This window comes from Homo sapiens, chromosome 7, assembly GCF_000001405.40.
Source record: "Homo sapiens chromosome 7, GRCh38.p14 Primary Assembly".
NCBI classification, from domain to species: domain Eukaryota; kingdom Metazoa; phylum Chordata; class Mammalia; order Primates; family Hominidae; genus Homo; species Homo sapiens.
The window spans coordinates 111,505,543-111,531,291 of NC_000007.14; the positions used below are offsets into that span (position 1 = coordinate 111,505,543).

The 25,749-nt window shown below is 36.8% G+C and overlaps 1 protein-coding gene across 28 annotated transcripts in view, besides 2 other annotated features; it reads right to left on the reverse strand.

Moving 5' to 3' along the window:
- The window catches only part of IMMP2L (inner mitochondrial membrane peptidase subunit 2), an 899,849-nt gene that overhangs the window by 842,899 nt on the left and 31,201 nt on the right, over positions 1-25,749 (reverse strand). For all 28 annotated transcript variants that reach the window (XR_007060162.1, NM_001350963.2, NM_001244606.2 and 25 more), the window contains one exon: positions 15,771-15,907. Coding sequence is in view for 27 of the 28 variants with exons in the window: in NM_001350963.2 (NP_001337892.1) it covers positions 15,771-15,905 (135 nt within the window). In the remaining variant the exon portion in view is untranslated. The remainder of the gene's footprint in view (positions 1-15,770; positions 15,908-25,749) is intronic.
- Positions 21,669-21,738: an enhancer, noted in NCBI's record as "active region_26506". NCBI's record gives its function as "activates an Ori minimal core promoter by ATAC-STARR-seq in GM12878 lymphoblastoid cells {active_cell/tissue: GM12878}" and the evidence as "EXISTENCE:reporter gene assay evidence [ECO:0000049][PMID:35858748]".
- Positions 22,059-22,108: an enhancer, noted in NCBI's record as "active region_26507". NCBI's record gives its function as "activates an Ori minimal core promoter by ATAC-STARR-seq in GM12878 lymphoblastoid cells {active_cell/tissue: GM12878}" and the evidence as "EXISTENCE:reporter gene assay evidence [ECO:0000049][PMID:35858748]".

Consider the following 25,749-nt stretch of genomic DNA (forward strand, 5'->3'; position numbering starts at 1 on the left):
CACAATAGCAAAGACTTGGAACCAACCCAAATGTCCAACAATGATAGACTAGGTTAAGAAAATGTGGCACATATACACCATGGAATACTATGCAGCCATAAAAAATGATGAGTTCATGTCCTTTGTAGGGACATGGATGAAACTGGAAACCATCATTCTCAGCAAACTATTGCAAGAACAAAAAACCAAACACCACATGTTCTCACTCATAGGTGGGAATTGAACAATGAGAACACATGGACACAGGAAGGGGAACATCACACAGTGGGGACTGTTGTGGGGTGGGGGGAGCGGGGAGGGATAGCATTAGGAGATATATGTAATGCTAAATGACGAGTTAATGGGTGCAGCACACCAACATGGCACATGTATACATATGTAACAAACCTGCACATTGTGCACATGTACCCTAAAACTTAAAGTATAATAATAATAAAATTAAAAAAGAAAGAAAGGAGGCCAGGCTCACACCTGTAACCCCAGCTTCTTGGGAGGCGGGAGGATGGCTCCAGGCCAAAAGTTTGAGAACACCTGGGCAACATAGTGAGACTGCCTCCACACACAAAAATTTTAAAAATTAGCTGTCCAGGACTTCGAGGCTGATTGCACCAATGCACTCCAGCCTGGGCAACAGAGCAAGACCCTGTCTCTTTAAAATAATAATAATAATAATAATAATATAAAAATAAATAATAAATTTTTAAAAAGAAATGCTCCTTCATAATAAGGTGGACACACCCCAGAGGTCTCTTTCTAAATTGACCCCATTTTAGTACAAGTTAATTCAACACCCTTAAAATGTTGTAGACTTCCCATTAATCTAGTTGGGGCTCATTCCATTCCCCCCAAAACTACATCCATATCTTCCTTCTTTTTTCTTTTTCTTGCCCTGTCCCCCAGGCTGCAGTGCAGTGGTGCAATCTCAGCTCACTGCAACCTCCGCCTCCCAGGTTCAAGCGATTCTCCTGCCTCAGCCTCCAGAGTAGCTGGGACTACAGGCACATGCCACCACACCAGGCTAGTTTTTGTATTTTTAGTAGAGACAGGTTTTACCATGTTGGCCAGGATGGTCTCAATCTCCTAACCTCGTGATCCACCTGCCTTGGCCTCCCAAAGTGCTGGGATTACAGGCGTGAGCCACCACGCCCGACCCTTAATTTTTTTCAAACCAGATCTTTCTTTACTTTGAAAGTGTCAGGCTGCTGTGGCACAAAGCCCTGAAGAGTTTACAATATATTTTGTCTAATTAAAAAGATATACTAAGTACCACCTTATATCTTTCTGAGGTTTTTTTTGTTTTTGCTTTTGTTTTTGTTTGAGACAGAGTCTCACGGTGTCACCCAGGCTGAAATGCAGTGGCACAGTCTTGGTTTATTGCAACCTCTGCCTTCTGAGCTCTGGTGATCCTCCCACCTCAGCCTCCCAAGTAGCTGGGACTACAGGCGCATGCCACCAAGCCTAGCTAAGTTTTCTATTTTTAGTAGAGACAGAGTTTCGCCAGTTGCCCAGGTTGGTCTCAAACTCCTGGGCTCAAGTTATCTTCAAGCCTTGGCCTCCCCAAGTGCTGGGATTATAGGCGTGAGCCACTACACCCAGCCCTGAGGTCTTAATAAAGAGTCTTCCAGTCCTGATTTGATCTCTACCCGAGGCTATTTCTTATTTTGAGGATCTTTTGCCTGCTAGATACTGGGAATGAAAAATAGTTTTATTTTCCAACCCAAAAAAGTTCTGGGCACCCTATATTTCCTCTAATTTCTGCTATAAGTTCATTTCTCTCTTCCCATATCTTATATAAAGCTATACGAAGCCAGCTGACAATTTCAATATTTTCGCCTGGAAATCTCCTTAGCCAAATCTATAAGATCATTAGGTATATCTTCTATTTTTCAAGTTCTTACAGTTCACATTTTTAAAAAATGTTTAAGTACCATAAAACACAGATCATCGTAATTCCAGTCCGCAGTAACAGATACTTTACTATCTTTCTGTTTTCTATTAACAGTTGTTTGCCATTTGTCCAGCGTCTGCCAACACTCCCCTCACCACATTACCAGCCCCAAACTGCCACCCAGTCCCCAAATCAATGCTACATATTTTAGGTTTTTGTTATAGTATCACTTCACTAATAGTACCAATTTTTGTTTCAGTTATCTCTTGCTTCATAACAAACCACTCCAAAACTATATGTCTAAAAAGAACAACCAAAATGTATCTGCTTGTGATCCTGCAATTTTGGCTTCCCTCAGCTGGAAAGTTCAAGATGGCTTCATTGACATGTCAGGCACTCAACTGGGGCTGGAAGGCCAGGATGCTTCATTTATTCTCCAAAATCTCCGTCATCAGGATAGCCTGAGTTTTTACATGTACCCAGCTCACAAGTACTGACCAAGCTCCTACTTGAGCAGTATTTGCTTATATCCTACTGACCAAAACAAGTCACATGGTCAGAGTCATTGTGGGAGGAAACTACACAAATCAATGAGGGAGGCCTGATTCACTATGGAATCATTACCATAAAAATCTACACATATCTCATACTAAATGAATGGGCCATCCATTCAGCTGACAATCTTGTGACTGTGCTTTCTGTTGATCATTTTAAAAGCTACAGAAATAAAAGATAGTTTATATTTTAAAAAGAAAGAAAAAAATTCACTGACAAAAAAATAAAAATTTTAAAGATAACTAAATAGTCTTAAAAGCAAATGACAAGCTAAAAAGTATAAAACAGGCATTTTAAAAAATAAAATTAAAAAAGTTTACGAAGAAATAAAAATAAAGTTCATAAAATAGAAAAATGTTTAATTAAAACTTAAAAATTAAAAAAAGAACATAATTATAAAATGATATACCCATTGGTATAATATTGTTGTGGTCTTTCTACTCCTTAGCTCAGGTAGGTCCGAGTTCTTGTCGCACAACCAGGAAGAATTAGGCATGCAGACACCAGAGAGTCAGTAAAGTAGAATTTAACAGGCGAAAAAGGAAAGCTTTCAGCCAAGAGAGGGCACAGAGGGTGGGAGGGGTATGGTTCCCCTATCTGAAGGCAGGGAAGTCCCCAGTGTGGCTGGGTCCAGGGCCTTTTATATACTCAGAATGGGGAGAGTGTGTTGATTGGTTTGTGAGTATGCAAAAAATGTTAAAGCAAAGACACCACTCAAAGGTGGGCACGACAGAGTAGAAAACCAATTAGGAAAGGGTAGGTATATGTGAAATAGGTGAATGGTGGGGATCTATCAGAGGAAATCATGCCAAATAGGCAAGTTCTCAATCCAGTCTGAGGATGTAACTTGTAGCTTGGCTTTCAGGCTTTAAACTGTCTTGGGCTTGGAAGGGGGGTTTCACTGGGGACCCACCCTATCTGCCTAGGCATTTGGCTGCTTCCTGCCACTCTCAATATTAGAAACAATAAGCTAAAATTAGCACAAATATATGATAAATAATTTAACAGACAAAGAGATGGGAAATAAAACAAATTTTTTAAAAGTTATAAGACTAAGAATTCAAAAGTTTAGTAAACAAAGGCAATCAGGATTTTCCAAGCAAAAGCAATTACCATGTCTAGCAAATCCCCCAACAATTTGCCCTCACCCAAGACATGGAGCTCTCCTTAAGAAAATGGTTCTCAAACTTTAGTATTTACAGAGTTTGTTAATGCAGATTCCAAGGTCCTCACAAAACGATTCTAATTTCATAGGTCTGAAATGGGGCTCATTAATCTTCATTAATAAGTACCCCAGATTATGTAATAAAAAAGGCCCAAGGACCACAGCAGCTACAAAAGGGTTTTCTCAAACAAGGGACAGACTATGGGGCTCCTTATCCTTCGTGTTGCACTTATTGCTTGAAGTGCTTATGACAAGCCCACATTTAAAATTTCAGAATCAAAAGTTAACATGCTCCACTCCCTTAGTTATAGCTCAATTTGAGCTGTCTCACCCTTGTAAGCTTCCCTCCAGCAATAAAGCAGCATTTTGCAAACTACAGGTCACAACCAATGAGTGAGTCAGAATCATCAATTTAATAGGTTATGACCAGAACAGAAAATATCAGAGGGCATTGCACATAATGATAGTAATTACAATTTAAGTATTGTTACATGAAACTTTTGTTCCAGTTGCATGTATGTGTGTATAGTGCAAAATATATTACTTAATATGAGTCATGAGCAAAAAGGTTTGAAAATCTCTGCCATAAAGAATATGATGAATTTGTCAAGAAGCTAAAAACTTTTTAGGAGAATAGTTCACCAGAAACACCCTCAAAGTCTAAGAAAAAAAAAATTTTAATGATCATAATTTCATTTTATCATATTTCTGTAGGGTTTAATTATTCAGGCATATCAATGCTTCAAAGAAGAAATTTCATATGCATTTATTCCAGCATCCCTCTGAACTAGCAGGTGAGAGGATTATGGTCCCCTTTCTTTTAGAAACTTACAGAGTAGAGTTATTATTAACCCATGAAATTAATAATTAGAGGGCAGTACAAAAGGATTTATAATCATGAGTTAAACTTACAATGCTGTAGGATTTCTAATAAGTGAATGACAGAATTAAAGAAAGTTACATGAAGAAAATAGAGCTTGAGTTTAGACTTAAAGGGAACTTCAGAAAAAGCAGAGGAGAAAAGGTATAATAATGAGTCGTGTTATACAGTCAGAATAGGCTAAATGCTTGTAAAAAGAATTTCAAAAGCTCAGTGGTATAACACAATAGTGAGTGGACTGACTCCACACAATCATTCAGAAACCCAGTTTTTTCGAGCTTGTACATCTACCATCCCCTGCGGCATCGTGTCCTCAACTGGATCCTCTGCTGTATTGTATTATATACATACATATACATAAATATAGATATAGATATTGATACAGATATCAAAATCAGTATAGATATCCTGTATATTATGATGTTTTGACACGTTAAAAAAAACATTCCTAGCTGGGGAGACACTGCCTCTGCCAGACCTAGCCAATTCTTCCAGCTAGCAAGAGCTCAACCAGAAGCATGCCTTTCATATACAAACTAACCAATCCAGAACCATACCTCCTCCAGCCAGCATAACCCTGGAGACAATTTCCTCTGCCTTCATCTTCCCAAGGCCAGGTACCAGGCAACCAGGGACCACCCCTACAGCTTAGAATCTGCCAAAATTATTCAAACTAGCCAGTCCTAAACTGTTCATTCTGCCCTGCCTTGCCTTGCCTTGCCTGCACAGAAACCCCAAAAAGGCTTTGGCCTAGCTGCTATTGTCATCTGCTTCCTGACCACTCTGGTGTCTTTCCCATGTGGCCCCACATACCGTGCTTTACCTTCCTGTCTCTAGGACCTGTAAGTCTAATAAACTTTGTTTTCCTGAGCCTCTCCTCTGTCTGCTCTAGTGGCCATACCTAACTAACCAACTCATAAAAGAATACAAAACATCTGCCTTCAGCCAGCAGACAGAGGAGAGAGCATGGAGGATCACAAAGATTTTTCATGGGCCAGGCCTAAAAATGGCACTTCACTTCCTCCCATTTTCCACTGGCCAGACCTCAGTAACCTCTGATATCAGGAAAGATTAAAAAACAGGACAAGAAATCATCCATTCATCATTAGTCATCCCTCTTACAACTAAAACACCCTGAACATAACACCACACACAAAAATATAGGAGGATCTGCAAGGTGGAAAGAAGATAAACTAGAGGCTAGGAACCACAGGACTTGAGAAATGACACCATCGCTCCCCTGGACTTTCTTTTTGCTTCTCATATATCCTAGATCAGGCACTAGGGAATCCTGCAACCTGTAGCTACCAACAGGCCAAGCAAAAAAAAGGGCCTGAAGACGTGGTGGCCAACACCTGTAATCCAGCACTTTGGGAGGCTGAAACGGGCAGATCGCTTGAGCTCAGGAGTTTGAGACCAGCCTGGGCAACATGGTGAAACCCCATCTCTACCAAAAATACCAAATAAAATTAGCCAGGCATGGTGGTGCAAGCCTGTAATCCCAGCTACTCAGGGGGCTGAGGCACAAGAATGTCTTGAGCCCAGGAAGCAGAGGTTGCAGTGAGCGGAGATCGCGCCACTGCACTCCAGCCTGGGCAACAGAGTCTCCCTCTGTTGAACAAAAAAAAAAAAAAAGGCCTTAAGAAAAGCCTACTCTCTCTAGCCAAAGGACCAGGAAAAGGAAGACCTAGCAGAACAGAAACATTTTTGCTAATAACCATCCTAATCCAGTCAAACATCAAAGGAAAAACTACCCCACCCCATCCCCCAACACCATGGTGTCAGCAGGGCCCAGCAAGGAGCTGGACTTCTAACCCCACTCAGCAATTAGGAGATGGGGCAAGTAGGCCCTTCACTTCCCCGTATCAGGTGTCAAAGAGGTGGAATGAGAGTGCAAGTGGTGCCAGTTAGCAGCCCACTTTCCCCACCCCAGTTAGTTGAGCAATTTCTTTAGAAGTTAAACATAAATGTACCATGCCACTCAGCAACCCCACTATTACGTATCTGCCCAAGAGAAATGAAATCATGTATATACACGTAACTGTACACAAATATCTATAGCAGCATTACTCACGATAATGAAAACATCAAAACCCAAACATTTATCATCTGGTGAGTGGAGAAACAAAATGTGGTATATTCATACAGAGAATACTTTTTGCAATAAACAGACACAAAATGCTAATACATAGTACAACATGGCTAAACCTCAAAAAAATCTAGTAAGTAAAAGAGCCAGTCAGGAAAAACCACATTAGTATGGTTCTATTTACAGGAAAGGTTCAGAAAAGGCAAATCTATAAATCAGATCAGCAGTTGCCTAAGGAAAGAGATGGGAGTGAGGATTAACTTCAAACAAGCATAAGGTTCCTTTCTCAGGTGATGAAAATATTTTAAAACCGGGTTATGGTAATGATTGCATGACTCCATAAGTTTACTTTTAATACTATTTATTGATATTTTATTATATAAAACATAATTTTTAATAAAAAATTCAAGTCATCCCAAAGCGTTCTACAGATTCAATTGCACTATCTTTAAAACTCTGATGTCATTTTTCGCAGAAATACACAACACAATCCTAAATTCATATGGAACCACAAAAGACCCTGAATAGCCAAACAATCTTAAGCAAGAAGAACAAAGCTGGAGGCATCACACTACTTAACTCAAATGCAAAATTATAGTAATCAAAACAGTATGGTACTAGCATAAAAACAGACATATAGACCAATGTAATAGAATAGAGAATCCAGAAATAAATGTACACATTTATGAAAAATCAATTTTCAACAAAGATGCCAAGAACATACAATGAGGAAAGAATAGGTTCTTCAATAAATGGTGCTTGGAAAACTGAATATCCACATGAAGAAGAATAAAATCAGACCCTTATCTCACACCATATACAAAAATCAACTCTCAATGGATTTTTAAAGATGATGCCTGAAACTGTAAAACTACCTGAAACTGTAAAACTACTAGAAGAAAACATAGGGAGAAAAGCTCCATGACACTGATCTGAGCAATGATTTGTTAGATACGACCCCAAAAGCACAAGCAACAAAGCAAAAATAGACAGCTGAGCTCCTATCAAACTGAAAAGTTTCTGAAGAGAGAAGGAAACAATCAACATGGTAAAGAGACAATCTATGGAATGGAAGAAAATATTTGCAAACCATATATCTAATAAGGGGTTAATGTATAAAATATAAGGTACACAAACAACTCTATAGCAAGAAAACAACTTGATTTTAAAATAGGAAAAAGACCTGTATAGAGAATTCTCAAGACATACAAATGGCCCAGAAGCATATAAAAAATATTCAATATCACTAATTATCAGGGAAATGGAAATTAAATTAAATGTGCAATGAGATGTCACCTCATACCTGTTAGGAAGGCTATTATCAGAAATTCAAGAGATAAATGTTGGTGAGAATATGCAGAAAAGAGAACCCTTGTGCTCTATTGGTAGGAATGTAAATTAGTTCAACCATTATGAAAAATAGGGATATATCTCAAAGAATTGAAAACAGAACTACCAGATGATCTACCACTCTCACTTCTGGATATGTATCCAAAGGAAATGAAATCAGTAAGTCAAAGAAATATCTTCACTCCCATTTCATTGCAGAATTATTCAAAACAGCCAAGATATGGAAGTAACCTAAATGCTCATAAATGGATGAAGGGATAAAGAAAGTGTAGTCAGTGTGGGTGTGGGTTTCTGTATATATATGAGTGCGTGTGGATATTCTTCTGCAGGTGTATATATACACACACACAGTGGTATATATACTATGAAATATTATTCAGCTTTTAAAAAGAAGGAAATCTTGTTATTTGTGACAGTGTGGATGAACCTAGAGAACATTATGTTAAATGAAATAAGCCAGGCACAGAAAGACAAATACTGCATGATCTCACTTATATGGGTAATCAAAAAAAGCTGGACTCACAGAAGCAGAGAGTAGAATAGTGGTTGCAAAGAGCTGAGAAGTAGGGAAAATGAGAAGATGTTGGTCACAGTATACAAAGTTTCAGTTATGTAGGATTAATAATTTCTGGAAGTCTAATGTACAGCAAGGTGACTATAGCTAATAATACTGTATTATACACTCGAATTTTACTAAGAGAGTAGATCTTAAATGTTCTCACCACCAAAAAGAAGGTAACTATATGAAGTAAAGGGTATGTTAATTAGTTTGTGGTAATCATTTCATAATGTCTACACATATCAAAATATCATGTATACTGTTCTCACTCACAGGTGGGAACTGAACAATGAGAACACTTGGACACAGAATGGGCAACATCGCACACCGGGGCCTGTGGTGGGGTTGGGGGATGGGGGAGGGATAGCATTAGGAGATATACCTAATGTAAATGACGAGTTAATGGGTGTGGCACACCAACATGGCACATGTATACATATGTAACAAACCTGCACATTGTGCACATGTACCCTAAAACTTAAAGTATAATAAAAATATATATATATCATGTATACTTTAAATATATGTAATTGTTGCCAGTTTACCTCAGTAAAGCTGGAAAACATCATTACATCACTTACAATGGGTAAATTCAATGGTATATAAATTATACCTCAATAAAAATGTGTTTTAAAAAGTAGATGGACTGGCATAATGAACCACCATGTAATCCATCACCTAGAGCCAACAATTATGGATTCATAGCCAATCTTGTTTCATCTGTAACCCTTCTACTTTTATTCTTGCCATATTATTTTAAAGTACATCTCAGCTATTATGCATTTCACTGCAAATTTTATAATATTCATACTATGAGGATAAGGGTTTTTTTTAACATAACAGCAGTAAATACCATTATCACCCCAAAAAACAATGTATCAAAGCACAAGTGATATAAGTAGTGCTTTGCTTGACCATTTTAGATAATCTCTTGTTGCTTTCTGCTATTTTCATTCTCCTCTCTTTCTTTCAACTACATTTAGTATCTGATAGCTCCAATTTCTAAAGCCTTTAAAGTCTAGTTCGGCTAATGGTTGCTTCTGACTCTCACTTACAGAGCTCATTTTCTCATGCAATATTTTTACTGGGATATAATGTTCATCAAACTTTATCTTTGGGATTCTATAAGGCCTGGTTGCAAGCTGCATGTGCCCAGGGAATTTGGTGCCTGAGGCTGCTCTAAACCCAGGCCACTGTAAATTAATATCTCAGTTTAGGGTTTTTCAGGTGCAGTGAATGTGAATTCAAACCTCAATTCCACATCAGGGCTTTCTCTCTCAGAGCCTAGACAATTTTTCTTACAGAACAGATTTTTGCTTTAGTCTACCCATTTCCTAAAGATGTGTCTCTTCTATGGTCCTGACTTTATTAAGAATTTCTGTTCCAATTTCCTGCCTTCTATGAGCCTATGGCCTTGTCTTCTGATCCCCATGTGGCCATTGAAACCAAAAGCTCTAAATGACCAGGAATTGACAAATATCCATGTGACAGCTACTGACTTTAATGTATACTTACTGCCCTGGAAATGTATTCCCCCTTATTGTGGTCTCTGAGAATTTCCCTTGCTTCCCTGCAAGTTAGTTACACATTTTTAAAGTTTTTAATGTTTTGTTTTTAATTTTTTAAGAGTTTTGCACTGGGAATATTTCAAGATGTTTCATCTGCTATATTTCCAGATAGTCTAATCCCTTCTTATAAACTTTAAAATCTTTAGACTTTTTATAAGAGAAACGTATCTTCCATCAACCTGAGCGGCACAGTTTAAAATCTTTTTCCCCCATTATAACATAAAGCTTAATTTCTATATTTAAGTCCTAAATGTACTACAGAATCATACCAAAATTAAATAACTTACTAAGTACATCATTCCATAAACCAAAATAAAATGGAATAAAACATCACTGTGAGAAGGAATAGTATAAACAGGCACCAAAACAGTGACAAGGCACAACTTTTATTAGTTATTATTTAGTGAAATGGACAGCACTGTCAGAGTTGGTTCAAGCCAGAGTTCCAAAATTCAATGATTGTCTGAGCTTACGTAAAGTACCTCAACTGTCTGAGCCTCAGTTGTTTCAAATGTAAAATTTAGAACTTGAGTCATTTCTTAATGTATTTAAAGCTCTATACTACTATGAATAAAGTGTTAAATTTTAAAATCAGCTGAAGAAAAGCATTAATATACCAATCAGCAAGCATCGTGACTCAGGAAGAATGTACAAGAGTATCAAGAATTAAAGGGGCATGATGTATGCAACCTACTTTCAGATGGTTTAATAAGATTTTTTGAGGGTATATATTCATACACGCATAAATACAGAGGGAGAGGAAGAGGAGGGGGAGGAGGAGGAAGAGAGAGAGAAGAGGGAGGGAAAAAAGATAATAAAATAAATATACTAAAATATTGAAACTGGTGTATCTGGGTAGAGAAGCCATAGGAGTTCTACGCACTACTCTTGCAACTTTTGTGTAAATCTAAATTTACAACAAGTTTTTAAAAAGTGTAATAAAGTTGGTATTTAAATAACAGATATAACCCTGGCTATATAAAACAGAAACACATAGTTATTCTATCATGGGAAGTGAAGAAAAATCCACAAAGGGACATTACAAATTTATCACTCACCAACTGTTTCAGGAACACACGTTTGTTGCTATAAATACAAAGTCTCTATTAATGACAGGTTACAGAACTATGTAAAAACTCATAACTCATCCTAAGGGGTAAAACATCAGGTGAGATTTCTGAGCCAAAAGTAATTTGGGCAGAAAGCACGCAAGTAAGCCAATAAAGCATTCCAACATTAAATCCTGACTTCCTTTGACGTCAGCCCCAGCAGACCAAGGTGAGTGACGACACAGAGAAGTCAGCACAGGAGGAAATGTGTGCCAGCTTGTGCCCAGTATCTTGGAAGTGCAAATTTACCAGGTAACATAAAACTCCATAACTCTATCTTAAATGCTGGTATATAAATCACAATGTATCTCTTTTCTTAAGAGTCTGTATCCAGCTTCTCAGAGTTCAAAATAAGTTACAAGCAATAATGACTGTTGAGTATTATTAAGCTGACTGTAGGTTAAAATTTTTTAAAAAAAACATAGATTGAAAGAGAGCTTGCTTTTTGATGATACTTTTAATTTCAAACTCAGCAGGAAACAAGATAATCACAGGTAGCTGAAAGTCAAGACAATTTAAAACCCATAAATGTATGTTATTGATGAACAAAGACCTCAATGCTAATTAAACTGCATTTTCCTTCATATTCTGTAATTTCCTAATATATTCTGCATACATTATCTCTAAGGTCTGACCTAGAGATACAGTATTGTGTAGCAGTGTTTTCAAGTATTTTTGCCCTCTGGCCATGCAAATGAAAAAAGGAAAATGGTACACTATGTAAAAATTATGTATCAATTGCAAAAAAAAAAAAAGATAATGACACAAAATTATTTATTTTACTTACTTTTTAAAGTCTTAAATCTTAGTTTTAAATGTGGAAAGCATATACCTTTTATCAGGACCAGTGACCCCACTGCAGGAATTCTCACTCAAATAAAATCTAAAACTTTGGCATGAGGTCATTAAACTATTCCTAGGGCACCCTTTTACGCTAAAAGCCTCTGTAAGCGATTAAAGTTCTAATTTGAATAATTACATTCCACCTACATAAATTCCCTCTGTAGTTTCAACTGTATGCAATATCAGTCTTCATTTCCTGAATTAAATTAATGTCGTGTAATGTGGTGCTTCTTTTTTAAAAAAAGAAGTACATCTACTTTCATAGGTAACCTTTCAGCAACCAGTAAAAGTGATTCATGTGCATGAGGGGAATAGGTCAGTATGAATAATCATTAACCAACAATTTGTGCCAGCATTTATTGTGTCGAGCATTGCAAAAGGGACAACTCATATAATGAAATGAATGCAGCTATACGGCTTTATAAAAATCAAATATTTTATAAACTAAATCCTATTTTCCATTGAATTTACCAATGCATCATTAGAAACTTTATTTTTTATTTATGGCTTGCCTTTAATTAGCTGATACTTCCCATGTTTGATCACCCTTATCTTTCTAGTCAAATACTTAATGAATTGCAAATTAATACTGAAAATCCTAACTTAAAAAAAGAACCACTGAGTAGTGTTTAAAAAGTAAATAAGTATTTCTCATAGAGGGAATCTTAAAAACATGCTTCCCCTAATCACAAACCAACAGAATTTTTGAAAGACCGAAAAACAATTCTTACAGCAAAATTTGTTACTCAAAGTGAATTTCCAGTGTAACCAAAACAGTATTTATTCAATAAACCCAAAAGACTAGTATTACACCTCCCTTTAATGAGATTTAATCTTTCGATCCTTGGATATTTCTTAAATAATGTGTCTACCAGTTGCTGAGTGACCTTCAAGAGTGGCTTTTCCCAGAGTAAAGAAAAACAGCTGTGTTCCTTGCAGGATGCTCAGTGACTTCCAGAGATCTCCACACCATGCCAACTATTTCAGTCCTTGAGTCATTAGAGAAATTTAAAGAGAAGAATTTATCCCAATTGTCAAAAATTCTGTTGAACCCCATGACATAAACGTGTTTAGTTGATCAAAGCTGTATAGTAGCAAAGATGTCTTCAAATATGTTGAATTAGTTAATCCCTAAATCTCATTATTATAATTTCTGCTCTTAAAGAATTTAAAGTATGATTTACTGGCATCTAGTGAAACTGTAAATTAAATTATCTATTATACCTAGAGTTGGTCTCAAATTCATGAAATATAGATCCAATTGTAAAAACATATTTTCCTTTCTTCCTAGAATTCCATTCTACTTTGATTCTGAAAATAGCATCCTCTTTCCTCTAGGAAATGTCACCTGTACTCCAATCCCCAATTCCCACAGAACAATGTGATTCAAAGAGATGCTGTCATTTTCTTACAGATCACTTGGCCTAGCCACAGGCTTGGGGTGTGTACTTGTTCAAAGCTGGACCAATCACGGTACCCCATTCTGGTGGCCAAAGTTGATCTGTATAGTTGTATAGATAAGGGCATGTGACCCAAGCTGAATACATCACAGTCCTTCCCCAAGATATTCCACACTGAAATCAAGGCAGTAGGAGCAATCTCTCTCAGGCGGTGAAGAAACTGGGCATGCGAGCTGCCAGCAGCCATGTACCCTGCTATGCAGAGAAAACTGGTCTGAGAGAACTAAGCCAAGATGCAGAGAAGAACTTAAAAAAGACGGAGCACTCCAGCGGCATCCAAGTCCTGGCTCTAGTTGTCCCTGACAACTGTCTCACTCGTGCCTTCCTTGTGTGTATATAATAAGCCTTCCAATAAATCCCCTTTATACCAAGCTATTTTCCTATTACCAGTAGCCAAGGAAACTATACAATATACCAAACAAATTCTAACATAATACATTTGACTTCTTAGGGATAGGGCCTAGGAATACTGCAAGAAATCCTAATACCTCTGCAAATTCAAATATATCTAATGCAAACCTGGGTTTAATCCATGAACCGACATTTAGAAATAACATGATTTAACACTTTCTTCACTGCCTTCTTCACTGGGGATAAGCCTTGTCCTTTCATAAGGCAGTCAAGGTCTTGTGAGCAAGACCTGTATCTTATATTTTGCAATGAATTGCTCTCTCAGCACAAGCCATGAACATAGATGTTCAGTAGGAATATATTAGGCTAAAAATATGAAGATTGGGATATTATGATTGCCACATGATCCTCTGGAATATCATCAGATCCAAAGTAAGGAGATTTTGTGTTCTGGAAAAGTCCTTCTTAGAATAGTGATAGCTGTATAGCAAGACAGCAGTAACAAAATTGGGGGAAAAAAAATCATTCTTAAACTGATTATTTGTTACCAAAAGATACATGCTTGTGAATGGATTCAAAGGGATCCTTGGGACCAAAAAGGAATGTGGGTGGCTGTGAAGAAGGCAGTTTTAATCTGAAATGAAGAATCTGACTCCAAAGCTCAGCAAAGAAAGTCTACGTTTCCCTAAGGATTGAGTCTAAGACAAGGCTGCTAGGAATTCAAGATTAAAGAGGCAACGAATGTAAAATACATTCTATCTTAAACATATTAAAGTGTATTTAAAGCCATATGCCTATAAATCTTTCTTTCTATGTTTACTGTACCCCTACATTAAGATATTTTGGCATTCAAAGTAAGTGACCAGTTTGCTTTGGGCTGGTGATCCACTATGGAGAGAACCTGAAAGACACGGTTGAGAGCAGAATCTTCTGCCCAAGAAAAGGCCCTAACCATGCTCAAATGATGGAAGTAGAATATAAAGGCAGTCCTGTTTTAAAAATGTAGCTTTTCCCAAAGAAGCTAAAGGATTTCCTGACCTTCTGTATCTGACTACCAGAACTCAGGGAGAAGTTCAATACCATAATTATAATAAATAAAGCAAACTAATTCTAACTCCTTAAAGCTGATAACTATGCCCTTAACTAGTTCTAACTGAAACAAAAAGAAAAAAAATTAAGCTGGTTATTCTCTGTATAATTTTGATTTTTTAGAAGCTTATATATTCATTTTAGTTATTTGTTTTATACAACTATTTACCACAACGCATGAACTTAATACATATTGATAATACAGGAAACCAAATCCTATAACAAAATGCAAATTCTGCCTAACTGCTTAAACTTACTAAAAAAGCTAGGTTCTAGACATCAACTTTAGGACAACATAATTTTCTCTAAGTTATTCCAGAAGACTATTTGCATAAAACTTTTGGAAATCTCCACTCCAAAGTTCTTCCACTGTAAACTGCACTTAATCTTTTCAATTAGCAACATGCTTAAAGAACACAATACAATATCTGGGATCAATGGTCTAGACATTTCTACAAACTGAAATCATATACCTATATAACAAGAGAGCAACTGATTGTGACTCAAACCCATCTTGCAACTACACTAATAATTTGGCATTAAAAGGATATTCTAATAGAGCCATATTCACAGAAAACAGTGTCATTTAGTATAATTTCTTAAGAATCTCCATTTAAAATTCTCAGAAAAATTTAAACTACAGACCCAGAGAACTGATAGTTACTTTTATTAACCTCTCCTCTGATTATAATACGACTGTATTAGAAGACCTTAAGAACAAATTCAGTAAAGTAAAATTTCATTTCAATGCCTTTTTATAACCTTTCAGTTCCCAGAATAGGAATAATAATTAGCACTCTCATTTCTAGTGCTTGAAAAACAATGAAGTATGTGCTTTAAAGAACGAAGTTATATCATTTTCACCTGCATCGATGCTCCTTCTACTCTTGCCACACAGGCGACCCGATCCAAGAAAGTCACTGCCACAGGCACCGCCACAAAGAAGCCTTTACAAAAGGCCTTGATGTATCTTTTCACCCACCCTTGTGACTGTGCCATACCTAAAAATACAAAGAAAACAACTATGAAATTAGTCTCAAGAAAGGTGAAAAACAAAGACATAAAAACAGTACATGAAAAGTAAGAGTTACCGAAGGGCAATCTTGTCTCTTAATATATTACACACTCATTCCTGTAACCATTAGAATAAATCTGACTTACTTAAAGTCCTAAAGTGAAATACGTGAACTCAGGTTAATGCTTTTCCACAACTCAAGTCCACTTGCTAACTTCAGTGGGAAATTTCTCCCCACAAAACAGTAAGTTAGAAAAAAACAAGCATTCCAGAAGTAAATTCTTTTCTGTTGCTATTATGATGAAGTTACTCCTTATACCCCTGATATCTGTTCTCTTCTACAGTAATAAAAGTTTCAGTGGAACATGTGGCTGCCCAACTAAAGACTGTTTTCCAGCCTCCCTTGCAGCTAATTGTGACCATGTCACTGGATTTGATCAACAGCATGAGTAGAAAGGATATAATTCTTGGTTGCACCCTGAAAAGGAGGATGCCCTCCCTTTTCTTCCCCATTTTATAACTGTAATACTAACAATTTGGTGGTAGGAGCAGGGGTGGCCATCTCAAACTATGAGATAAAAGCTTCAAGTAAAGATGACAAAGCAACAAAATGGAACGATCCTAGGTCCGCAACACCATGGAGGCACCATACTGTCCTGCATTGCTTACATTTGGACTGTTAAATCACAGATAAATCACTTGCGCTGTTTGTGGTGGCAGTGTTGGTGTTGTTGTTGTCGTTGTTGTTTTTAGACAGGGTCTCACTCTGTCACCCAAGCTGGAGTCTTGGCAAGACTTTTTTGGATAAGACTTCAAAAGCACAGTCAATCATAGCAAAAACAGACAATGGAGATTACATCAAGCTAAAAAGTTTCTGTGCAGCAAACAATCAACGTAATGAAGAGACAACCTACAGAATGGAAGAAAATATAAGGAAACTATACTTCTGACAAGAGGCTAATATCCAAAAACGCATAAGGAACTCCAACAATTCAATAGCAAAAAGACAACCCAATTAAAAAATGCCCAAGAGCTTAACAATAATTTCTCAAAAGAAGACATACAAATAGCCAACAGGTATATGAAAAGAATGCGCAGTCATGAGGGAAATGCAAATCAAAACCACATGGATATCATTCCACCCCAGTTAGAATGGCCATTATCAAAAGGCAACAAGTGCTGGCAAAGGTGGAGCAAAAGGAACCCTTATATCTGTTTATGGGAATGTAAATTAATATGGCCATTACAGAAAAGAGTATGGAGGTTCCTCAAAAAGTTAAAAATAGAACTACCACATGATTCTGCAATCCTATTCTTAGGAATATATCCAAAGGAACTGAAATCAGTATATTGAAGAGATATTTGCACTCTTATGTTTATCACAGCACTATTCACAATAGCCAAGGTATGGAATTAATCCAAGTGTCCATCAATGGATGAATGAACTTTAAGATGTGAGATACATATATATATATTATTTCACCATAAAAAAAGAATGAAATCCTGCCATCTGGTACAACATGGAAAAACCTGGAGGACATTAAGTAAAATAACCCAGGCACAGAAAGACAATATTGCACGACCACTCATATATAGAATCTAAATAGTTAAACTCATAAAAGTAGAGAGTAGAAGGGTAGTTACCAGAAGGTGGGGTAGTTAGTGGGGAGGAGAGGTTGGGGAGATGTTGCTCAAAGGATATATAATTATATTTAGGAGGAATACATTTCAGGACATCTATTGTTCAGTAAGGTGAGTACAGTTAATGGTAAGATATTGTATTCTTGAAAAATGTAAACAGAGTGGATGTTATATGCTCTTACCACAAAAATGATAAATATGTTAGGTAATGCATTTATTAATTAGCTAGATTTAACCATTCCACAATGTACATGTACTTCAAAACATTATGTTGTATACAATAAAACTCACAATGTTATCTGTTCACTCATAAAATAAATAAAAATAAAAATACTCAACCACTAATTCCCTCCCAAATCTTTAACATGTCACAGGAAAAAGATGAATGATAATCTAAATTGGCTAATTCTGAATTACCTACTGTAACTGACATCAATGAGGGCTATATGTATGCAAGGTAAGTAAGACCAGTACTCTTGTTTTTTATACTTTTATCAACATATATTGCACATAACATTCACCCAAACCAGTAATCTTTTTATACCTAATCAAAATAATGTAACTCAGACTAACTTTAGAATATAAGCAATTTAAAAACATGTTTTCATTCAAACTCATCTAACAACTATAATCTTAAGTTAAATTGCTTATGAGTTCACACATCTGGTACTCAAGAAACGTGTTTGGCCCAAGGTACTGATTGTTTCTGCGAGCAGTCTTAACCACTATATTCCTAAAAGAGTAAACCTGCTTGACATGTTTCATTCATTCATACCCAGCTTTAATGTGAGCCCTTGAGTGAAACTAATTTCTCTTCAATGACGTCTTTTGCCTAGAATCAAAACACCTTTACTAACTCATTTTATATATCTCTACAAAAGATTTAATATACTTTTCCAATGGACTATTTTACAAAGATCCCATTTATCATGTACTACCTCCATTAATATAAAAGAATAACCTTGACATATTTATCAAATCAGTACCTTCAAGATGCAAAAGATGCATTTTCCTCAATATTAGATTTCATTAGCTCAGTCTCTCTGAAAACACTTCTAACCACAGGTTTAGCAACACAAACATCAGTCTTATAATAAATTTAAAAACGGAATGACCTCCACATCTATTCTTTTTATTGTTTCCAAAATATATATAAATAAATAAATAAATCCAAAGATTTCAGATTATAAAATATCTGAATCCACAAATAATTTATAAAATGCTCCCATGTACATAGGAAAAAAAATAGTTACTACGTAGAAGAGAAAGGAAACGGCTCAACAGTAAATAATCAATTCCTCTTTGACCAGTTTGATAGCTTCAAAGTTATTTTAAGTGGTCTACACTTATGTTTAAGTCATATACAACTCCCAGATAATAATTCCAGGGTAGTGTTCCCCAAGCTTGCCTTGACTGACATGCTTAAAAATGAAGATCCCCACTCCGACTCAGACCTCCAAAATCAAACACTTCAGGTGATTCCCTTAATAGAGCAAGTCTGGAAAATACTGATATTTGGGTGTTTAAAGGTCAGCTGTTTACTCACTCCTCAAGTTTATTACCTTCTGAAAATGAAAACAGGGGAAAAGTTAGCAAAGAAATATCACCCTGAATGTCTCCTCACATTTAGTTTACCTCCTTACTAGATTAAGAAAAAGTATCTGCAGAACAAACATTGCACAGAAAATGAACACCACTACCAGATCCTACTTTGTAACCTCTACGTGGTTCCATCAGAAAATGACTTCCAGTGGATTTTCTCTTTGCCCCACTAAGGCAGTTCAATCATCCATCCACTCATCTACCCAGTCACTTACTACCTGGCTCATTCATTCTTTCAACCAGTATTTACTAACGGTCTTCCACAAGCACTGTGTTAGGTACCAGGGAATCATAAAACAGTGAACAAGGCCAGTCCCAGTCCCTGATCTTATCAAGTTTTTACAGTCAACTATGGAGTGATAAGGGTCAATCTGAAAATCACATAAACATACATAAGAGTTGTAATAAGTGCTATAAGAGAGATACACAGAGGTCAGGAAAGGTCTTTGAGGAAGAGGCTGAACTGAAAAATGAGGAGAACTTCTCTAGATAAAGAACTGTGGGTAGGCAAGGGTATTCCAGAGAGCAGCCATGTCACATGCCAAAGTCCCTGGGTCAGGAGTGGCCATGTTGTGATGGACAACTGAAGGGAGGCTGGTGCAGATAAAGCACACAGGAAGTGGAAGAGCACAGTGGGACATGAATGGGAGGAGGCAATGTAAATCCCAGAGCAGTTAAGACCTCACAGGCCCCGTAAGGATTTGCAGCAAATGAGAAGTAACTGAAATGTTCTAAAATTGAGGTGAATGATCCTATCTGCATTTTGAAATAATCATCTATCTGAAAGCCTGGATAGGACAAAAATGGATATAGGGAAACCACATTATTCTAGTGGTCCAGGGCAAGAGATGATAGTTGGAGTAGCATGATAGTGGAGATGGATTAAAATGGGCAGATTTATGTATATATTTTGGAAGTTAAACTGACAGGATCTGGAAATAGATGGACAATGGTGGGAGAAGGAAGGAGATAAGAAAGTGTCAAGGGGCCGTGGTAGCCTGTCAAAGCACTGCTATTCTGTTGTTCTCTTGAATTACATGTCAAAATATTTAATACTAAAATTATGCTCATAATTCCATTCCTCAAACTTTTTTTTTGGCAAACAAGCAGATGTGCTCCCTGCCCTCAAGGAGTTACAATATACCAAGGAAGACTGCCCTTCAACAATTATTTCCAATGGATGAGCATTAAAAGGGACGATGGCCCTGAAGCATGACAGCATGAAGCAAGGCTGTCTATTCATCAGAAAATGATCAAGGAAGGCCTGCCCCACTCCACCCCCACCCCCAAAAAATGGCATTTGAGGCAAGACCTCGGCATTTCAGGTAAAAGCAGTAACATATATGAAGGCCTAGGGGCAAAATAAAATGTAGCTGTTTAAGAAACTAAAATAAGTTCAGTTTGGATAGAGTATATACAGAATTTATTACGTGAATTTTTAATTCAGTAAGCATTTATTTGCTATCAAGCAGCAATGCTAAGTACAGAGGATATAAAGATGGCTAAGCATACAGTATAGTACCATTCAAAAACTCTCACTAAACAATACCTTACATTTCAACATACATTTATATGTGCACATAAAAGTATTTAAAATTGAATATTTATATTGTTTTAATTGTTTAATAACCACTCATATGTTACTTGTGTAATTATTAAAGTATACCAAAAGAGGGAAGAAAGCAGCATCAAAATGCTAGCAGTGGTTAATTCTATATGCTAGGAATGGAGACGATTACTATTTTCTTCTTTGAATTTTTGCTGGTTTCTAAAACAGAAAGATGGTATCTGCCCTAGGAAGTCACTATGATATACAGATAATACGGGGTAACACTAGTGTTAATTTCTATCCCATCACAATGAACAAACCACACTCTCACCCCAATCTCTGCTGCTCTAAGTAGTACAAATAACACTGAGCAAGATTCTTTCCTGTTTATGCAGCAATCAATATATTTAACTGACTATAATGTTGTTTATGTAGCCAGTGCAGGCTATCTATATTTCTGGAAACTTCTGGAAAGTTCTGTCAAATATTCGCTACTTTTATTTTAAGAGGCACAGAATGGAAACATGTCTTCTCTTTGCTGTTCATCATGCCCTGCATGCATGGACCTTCACAAAACAGCTGAGGATACCTGCAGGACAGAAACGGAATGCTTCCAAATATGATGCCACAGCTATCTTAGTTATAAGGTAGTATGCATGATTAAAATGTAAATTAAGGGGGAAACATTAATAAAAGTTGCATTAAATTCACATTTCCTGAATTGTGAGCCTCCTCTTCTTTTCCAGTAATGCTCTCCTACATTACTTCTACTCCATGTAGTCACTGGTCCCCAAAAAGGAGCATGGTAATGAGACTCAGGAGACCTGAGGTAGATATCTGTCTCTGTCTATAACCAGTTCCATGACTTTGAACAAGTCACTTCTGGCCTGTTTCCTCATGTGTGACAAGAAGGGGCTTATTTGGGAGGCCAAGCAAGAGGGTCACTTCAGGTCAGGAGTTCGAGGCCAGCCTGAGCAACACAGCAAGACTTCCATCTCTAAAAATTTAAAAATTAGCAAGGCATGGTAGCATACACCTGTAGTCCTATCTACTTGGGAGGCTGAGGTGGAAGGACTGCTTGAGCTAAGGAGTTTGAGACTGCAGTGAGCTATGACTGTGCCACCACACTACAGCCTAGGTGACCAAACAAGACCCTGTCTCCAAAAAGGGGGGGGGGGTAGATTTAATATCTAAGGTTCTTTCTAAGCCAGAATTCTTTATTTCTATAACTTTTTATTGTCTTTTAACTGTTTCTTAAGAACTTTGGCAGATACTAAAACAAACACTGAGATCACTATTGACTAAGAAAAAGTGAGTTGCCTTTATGGTTTGAGACTTTTTTAAGTATTGAAAATAAAAGAGAATTAACTTTTTTTAAACAACTGGTTAAAAGACCCAACAGTGAGGGAGCTGAAACCAGTGCCAATGATGTAAAAGAACATTTTAAATATAGATAAAGACCTGAACACCGTTGCTCTTTCACTTCTCATTTCCACAACCTGACTGCTGACCAGAGCATTGCTACCATCGCCTGCACAACAAAGTCAGGGCAAGTGTTTTTCTGAGAGATTATAAAGGAGCATGTGGGAGATGTCTCAATCTGATATGTGCTGATCCTGCTCCAAGCCAAGGAAGCAAGAGCAATAAAAGCTACCCTGGAAACAAGGTACAAGTGGTTGCTATTTTCAGAGGCTCAAAAGAAAACGCTCAATTCAGTCCTGTTTTATCTGAATTGTGAGGGGCACCTATATTTCATAATAATAAAACACTGTTAAAAGCTTCTATCATGTAAATACTAAAGAAGCCATTCATACATGAAGAAATGAACACAACATTTCTATGTTGTCATATCCAATAATTTTCTTAAAGTTTTATGGCATTCACATATTGGCAAAGTTAATGCACCTCCTTGTCTATGTAAATTGCCAAAGAATCATTCAGATGATCCGGTCTTTTGTTCACACCTTAAATGTTTAAAACCACCACAGTAATAAGTACCTAGCCCCGACTTCCTCTGGGAAAATTTCATCTAAGCAATAACAATCAGGTACTAAAATCACCCCCAGCAAAAAGGGAATAATTTTTATCAGTTACCTCATTCTTCTTGTAACTATGGAAGTCACTGAGGTTCAAAACACTGCTCCTGAGAAAATTATTGCTTAAAATTGTAAGTACACCCAGTTCATTGTTGAAGTGCTTAAACTGAGAATATTTTTTAAATAAGCTTTCAGAATCAAGTGAAACCATATTTGCCACCTGGCATACAGCACTTACAAGTGAGAGTTTCTTGGTGATGCTGACCTCAACCACATAACAACCCACACTGTAAATTTCTCTCCTTCCCGTAACAACTTGTGGCTTGATCATGCATTAATTCATCTAAAATTGTTCTTAAGCCTGCTTATATTTTAGCTTGTACAAAGTCACCAATCACTCATCCATGGCAACCAGGTGGATAAATCCACCACAAGTCATCCTAATTATAAAAACTATTTAAAAGTTGTGTGGGAGGTTTGAAGGTAAGAGGAAAATAATAAGTTATAAAGCAGTATCTTATGTAAAATGTAACCTTTCAATCATCATAAGCCTACACAAAATCAAGATTTTATTTATAAAGAGGAAACCATCAAACTATGAATATCAGAGAACACAAGAGTAGGGATCCAAGCAAATCTGACACACAATTCCTGAATCAGTCAGTATATGTGTACCTACCATGCACCATGGAATTGTGCTAAGAGATAAATATGTGTTATAGAACAAGGTCAGCATGGTCCTTTCTCCACGTAGAGTTTGCATTTTCATTCTTTCAACATTAAGTGCCTACTTTGTGCTAGACACTATGTTAAGACACCAGATTGACCAAGCCATACTTCCTCCCCAGAGGGACCTGTGACAAGGTCACAAGAAACAAGTATATGACCATAAATAATCCAGCTATCATCCTCCACGGATCTTTCTAGCAGCCCCTGGTACCAATAACCTGGCTCGGCAAACAGAGCCTAAGCATGTGAAAAATCAGGAGACATTTGGATACATGTGGTCTAATACAAGGATAAAAAAGAAAAACTGATGAATTACAACAATTTTGGTTCCACTGGAAGCAGATCCTGGCAAGTAATCTATAGAAAGCAATTTAAAAAATTTTTTCAGGACTATCTTGCTCCTTTCACATTATAAGTAAACAATATTTTATAAACAGACACTTAGTACTCTTTAGAACATGAATACCAGTATCAAATTCTTTATCTTTAGTCTTGTCTGACCTAGTAGTTCTCACTTGAAAATTCTCAGGAAAGACCAAAATGGCACATACACAAAAAAAGAAATAAGAAAGAAAGAGGAAAACCAGCCAAAAATAATAAAGGAGGAGAAATGTAATTATGTAAGGCATAAAGTTAGTCATTTTTTGGCAAAGATACCCAATAAAAAAGTCAACACTGATACAATGATGAAGCTAAGCCCTATAAAATTGCTTCTTTCATGGAGATAATTGTGACTTTCTGTTGGTAAACTGATAAGCATCTGGATACTAAGAGAAGAGAGGTTAAAACTGATGTATTCAATCTTAAGTCAGCAATATGTAAAAACAAATGAATTTGAAGGTCATGCTCTAGTACAACTGATGTAGAGAGAAAATACAACCAGGAAACAACTAGGATACAGAAATTCATAAAGGCTTCCTGATTTTTGGTAAGGACTCCTTCAACTTGCAAACATCATGCATTTATGCACACCCTTCCCTCTGATTCAGTGGAAAAGCAGGCCCCATCCTATCCAAGGTGCTCTTCAGAAGCAGCATCAGCAAAGAGGGAAAGTCAGTGAAAACCTGGTGGGCTTTGAATCCAAGACCTCAGTTCAAATCGTGATTCAACAGTGTGGAAATTACTTTATCTCAGTAAGCAAAATTTTTCATCTGTGAAACCTTGCAGGGTTTCCAGAGGTTCAAAATGTTCATATGTGTTTGTTTTCTTTTGTTTACATAAGCATTTGTGTAAAGAAAATGACTAGATCATCAAATAAAGGATATTTCTTCAGATAAAGCACTAGCTATGTCTAAGGAAGAGGACTAGTAATAACAAATCAAAAAAGGATAACAGAATTAAGGATGTCCATTACAGACAATAAACCAATAAAGCCCATCTTCTAGGTGATAAGACACCTAATACATAATCATTTTGTTCTGCTTTGAACCTCATGCTGTTCTAAGATTTGACCAGTTAGGGGCAATCATATGTACTGATATTAACCAGTTAACAAGAATGTATTCAGCACTGTCTTAGGTGTCTTGAGATTTTTTTAAAAGCAAAATAAAAGGAAATATAAGACTTAGTGCCAGAATTGGACCACAGGGATAGATTATATAATATTCATTGAGGAAAGAATAAAAAGGAAGAAAACTGGAATTACAGGAAAAAAATTCATGATGAGAAAGGCTAAAAAGAAAAAAAAAGGAATTAGAATGTAGGTGGTGGGTTTAAAAATGTTCATTATAAAATTCTTAGAATGTTTCTGTATGTTTAAAATTTTTCCTCAAAACTTTGGAAATAAAAGAATAAATTACATCTGTTAAGTCACTCAGATAAAAGAAAAATATAATTAGAATGAAGATGCATACAGCCCATCTGAGATAGCAAGAATGCTGGCCAGATCAGCGAACAGGACCTATATTAAGACAAGTGAGACATAAGACTGAATATTAATTTTTTTTTTTTTTTTGAGGCAGAGTCTTGCTCTGTCACCCAGGCTGGAGTGCAGTGGTGTCAGCTCACTGCAAGCTCCGCCTCCCGGGTTCACGCCATCCTCCTGTCTCAGCCTCCAGAGTAGCTGGGACTACAGGCGCCCACCACCACGCCCGGCTAATTTTGTTTTGGTATTTTTAGTAGAAACAGGGTTTCACCATGTTAGCCAGGATGGTCTCAATTTCCTGACCTTGTGATCCGCCCGCCTCGGCCTCCCAAAGTGCTGGGATTACAGGCATGAGCCACTGCGTCCGGCCTGAATACGAATTTTTCTTGTTTTAGTTGTTTTCTTTT